General features: G+C 51.1%; 1 annotated feature.

Annotated features, from left to right (window-relative positions):
* Window positions 1,564-2,214: an enhancer, noted in NCBI's record as "H3K27ac-H3K4me1 hESC enhancer chr5:10127135-10127785 (GRCh37/hg19 assembly coordinates)". NCBI's record gives its function as "activates a minimal SCP1, AML or CMV promoter by ChIP-STARR-seq in primed H9 embryonic stem cells {active_cell/tissue: H9 hESC(primed)}" and the evidence as "EXISTENCE:reporter gene assay evidence [ECO:0000049][PMID:30033119]".

Here is a 2,430-nt window from a genome sequence, read left to right as displayed (position 1 = left end):
TGTTCCCCATCCTGTGTGCAAGTGTCCTCATTGTTCAGTTCCCACCTATGAGTGAGAACATGCGGTGTTTGGTTTTCTGTCCTTGTGATAGCTTGCTCAGAATGATGGTTTCCAGCTTCATCCATGTCCCTACAAAGGACATGAACTCATCCTTTTTTATGACTGCATAGTATTCCATGGTGTATATGTGCCACATTTTCTTAATCCAGTCTATCATTGATGGACATTTGGGTTGGTTGCCTGGCCCCAATTTCTAATAGCCATTTCCTTTGGAAAAAGGAAAAGATATTAATGTTATCAGAATGTCAATGCTTCAACCAAACTAATGTCATATATTATATCATATATTACTTTGTCATTAAAAATTATTTTTTTCATTTCAAAAATTGATGCATAATATTTGCACATATTTATGGGGTAGATGTGATATTTTGAGACATGAATACAATGTGTAAAGATCAAATCATAGTATCTATCACCTCAAATATTTATCATTTCTTTGTGTAAGATTAATTTCATGAAGGAGAAACACAGGAAGTGAGAGTGCTCTTGAGGTTTGTCTTCTCATGGTCTGATTCTTTCTCTGGAAGTTCAGCTCTTTCTATCCCTCATCCTGTTAGGAACCTAACACTCACACCTCACCAACCGCCGCTGGGGCTCCCTTTTCTCACTCCAGCCATTGGCTGAAGTGTGCTGAGGAGTCCTCTGCATCAGAGTCACGGTGGCAGACAGTGAGGCCTGGCTAACAACGGACAGACCCAGCTCCCGTCCAGACCCCAGAATCAGGATCTCTTGGCCTCAAGGGGAATCTGCATTTGAGCCTCCCTCCCCATAACTGCCTGAGATTCTGGGTGCGGTTGGCCGAGGATATCATTTCTTCTTCTCAACAGTGCTAAAGCTGCCACTCTGGAGCCCCTCCAGGGACTGGCCTTGGGGAGGTATTGGATGGACAGATGTATTAGTCCTCTCAGGTTGCTGTAACAAAATACCACAGACTGGGTGGTTTAAGACATAGACATTTATTTTCTCGCAGTTCTGGAGGCTGAAGTCCGAGATCAAGGTTCTAGCCGCTTCGAATCCTGGCGAGGGCTCTCTTCCTGGCTTGTGGACAACCCGTGTGCCTCCTCACATATCCTGGGTGCAGGCAGAGAGAGTGAGTGGGCTCTGTGGTGTCTCTTCTCATAAGAACTAATCCTATCAGATCAGAACCCCACCCTGATGACCTCATTTAATTACTTCCTTAGAGGCCCCCTCTCCAAATACAGCCACACTGGGTGTTAGAGCTTCAGCATGTGAATTCTGGGGGGACACAAACTTCAGTTCATAACAACAGACCTCGTCATCTTACCCTTCAGGGCAGAATGACAGCCAGGTGGCTGCCTACTGTTTAGTTTGCCATGATGTTGATTGAACCATAGAATATGTAGGTGGCATTTTGGAAACTGGCTCCATGCTGGACCTGAAACGGATGAGCTCAATTGTGCAGCTAAGCAGTGGGAATGGGAGCTTATTCTGGGCTCCCCAGGCTGTGCCGTGAAGTCCTAACGGAGCTGCCTGCACACTGATGACACCTATCTCCTGCTATGCCGGGGGACTTTGAAGGTCCTTCTGTTGCTGGGAGTCTGGGGGCTTTTCCTTGGTTCTCATGAAGCAGTCCCACCCTCTTCCCCATAGTCTATCTCCTTCTTCTGCAGCAGCTCCTGGAGCTGGCGGCCTCCTGCACTGCGTGGAGGGTCCCCAAGTGAGCCTCGCTTCCCCAGCGCCACCACCTCTCAGGCACTGCCATTCCCGGGCATGGTGCCTCGGGAACCTCTACTGCTCCACGGAAATGCTGGAGCCCTCGGGGTGCCCAGGGTTTTGTGCTCCCTGAGGCCGGGAGCTGGGAGAAAGCCCCTCTCCCTGCACTCCCTTTGTGCTGTGGTGTGCCTGCCCCAGTGTCTTGTGGGTCTGAATAACAGAGCCCTGTCCTTCCCCTCCCCACTGAATCCCCTTCATCATGCCTGGGGGATCTGGGAACAGGACCAGTTGGGGTGGGGGAGGGCACACCAGGTAGTGCCACTAAGCCTGTGTCACTCTGGTCCCAGGAGATGAGTCTCACACAGGGCCCACCCTTGTGCCGGATACACCTGACTCCCAGCAGGGCTGTGGCTGCGGCAGATTCCCTAGGAGGGCAGAACCCCACCATACACAGGGGTGCAGGCCAGGGGCCATCGCGATTGGCCTGCAGCTCTGTTGTCTGCCTGGGCCCTGCTCTGCTAGGTGCCTGATGTGTGAATTCAGTTGGTTTGCGGTCTTCTTCCCTTTGTCTGGGGCTGCATGGCGTGCAGTGCTGAGCAACCCTGGCTGTCTGTGTCTGCGCTGGTGGGGGAAGAATTGTCAGTCCTTGTCATCTTCTTCCCTGGCACCATGGAGGCCTGGCCATCAGTGGCC

The sequence above is a fragment of the Homo sapiens genome, chromosome 5 (assembly GCF_000001405.40).
Source record: "Homo sapiens chromosome 5, GRCh38.p14 Primary Assembly".
NCBI classification, from domain to species: Eukaryota; Metazoa; Chordata; class Mammalia; order Primates; family Hominidae; genus Homo; species Homo sapiens.
The sequence above is the reverse complement of the archived record's forward strand: the minus strand, read 5'-3'. Positions and strand labels throughout refer to the sequence as shown.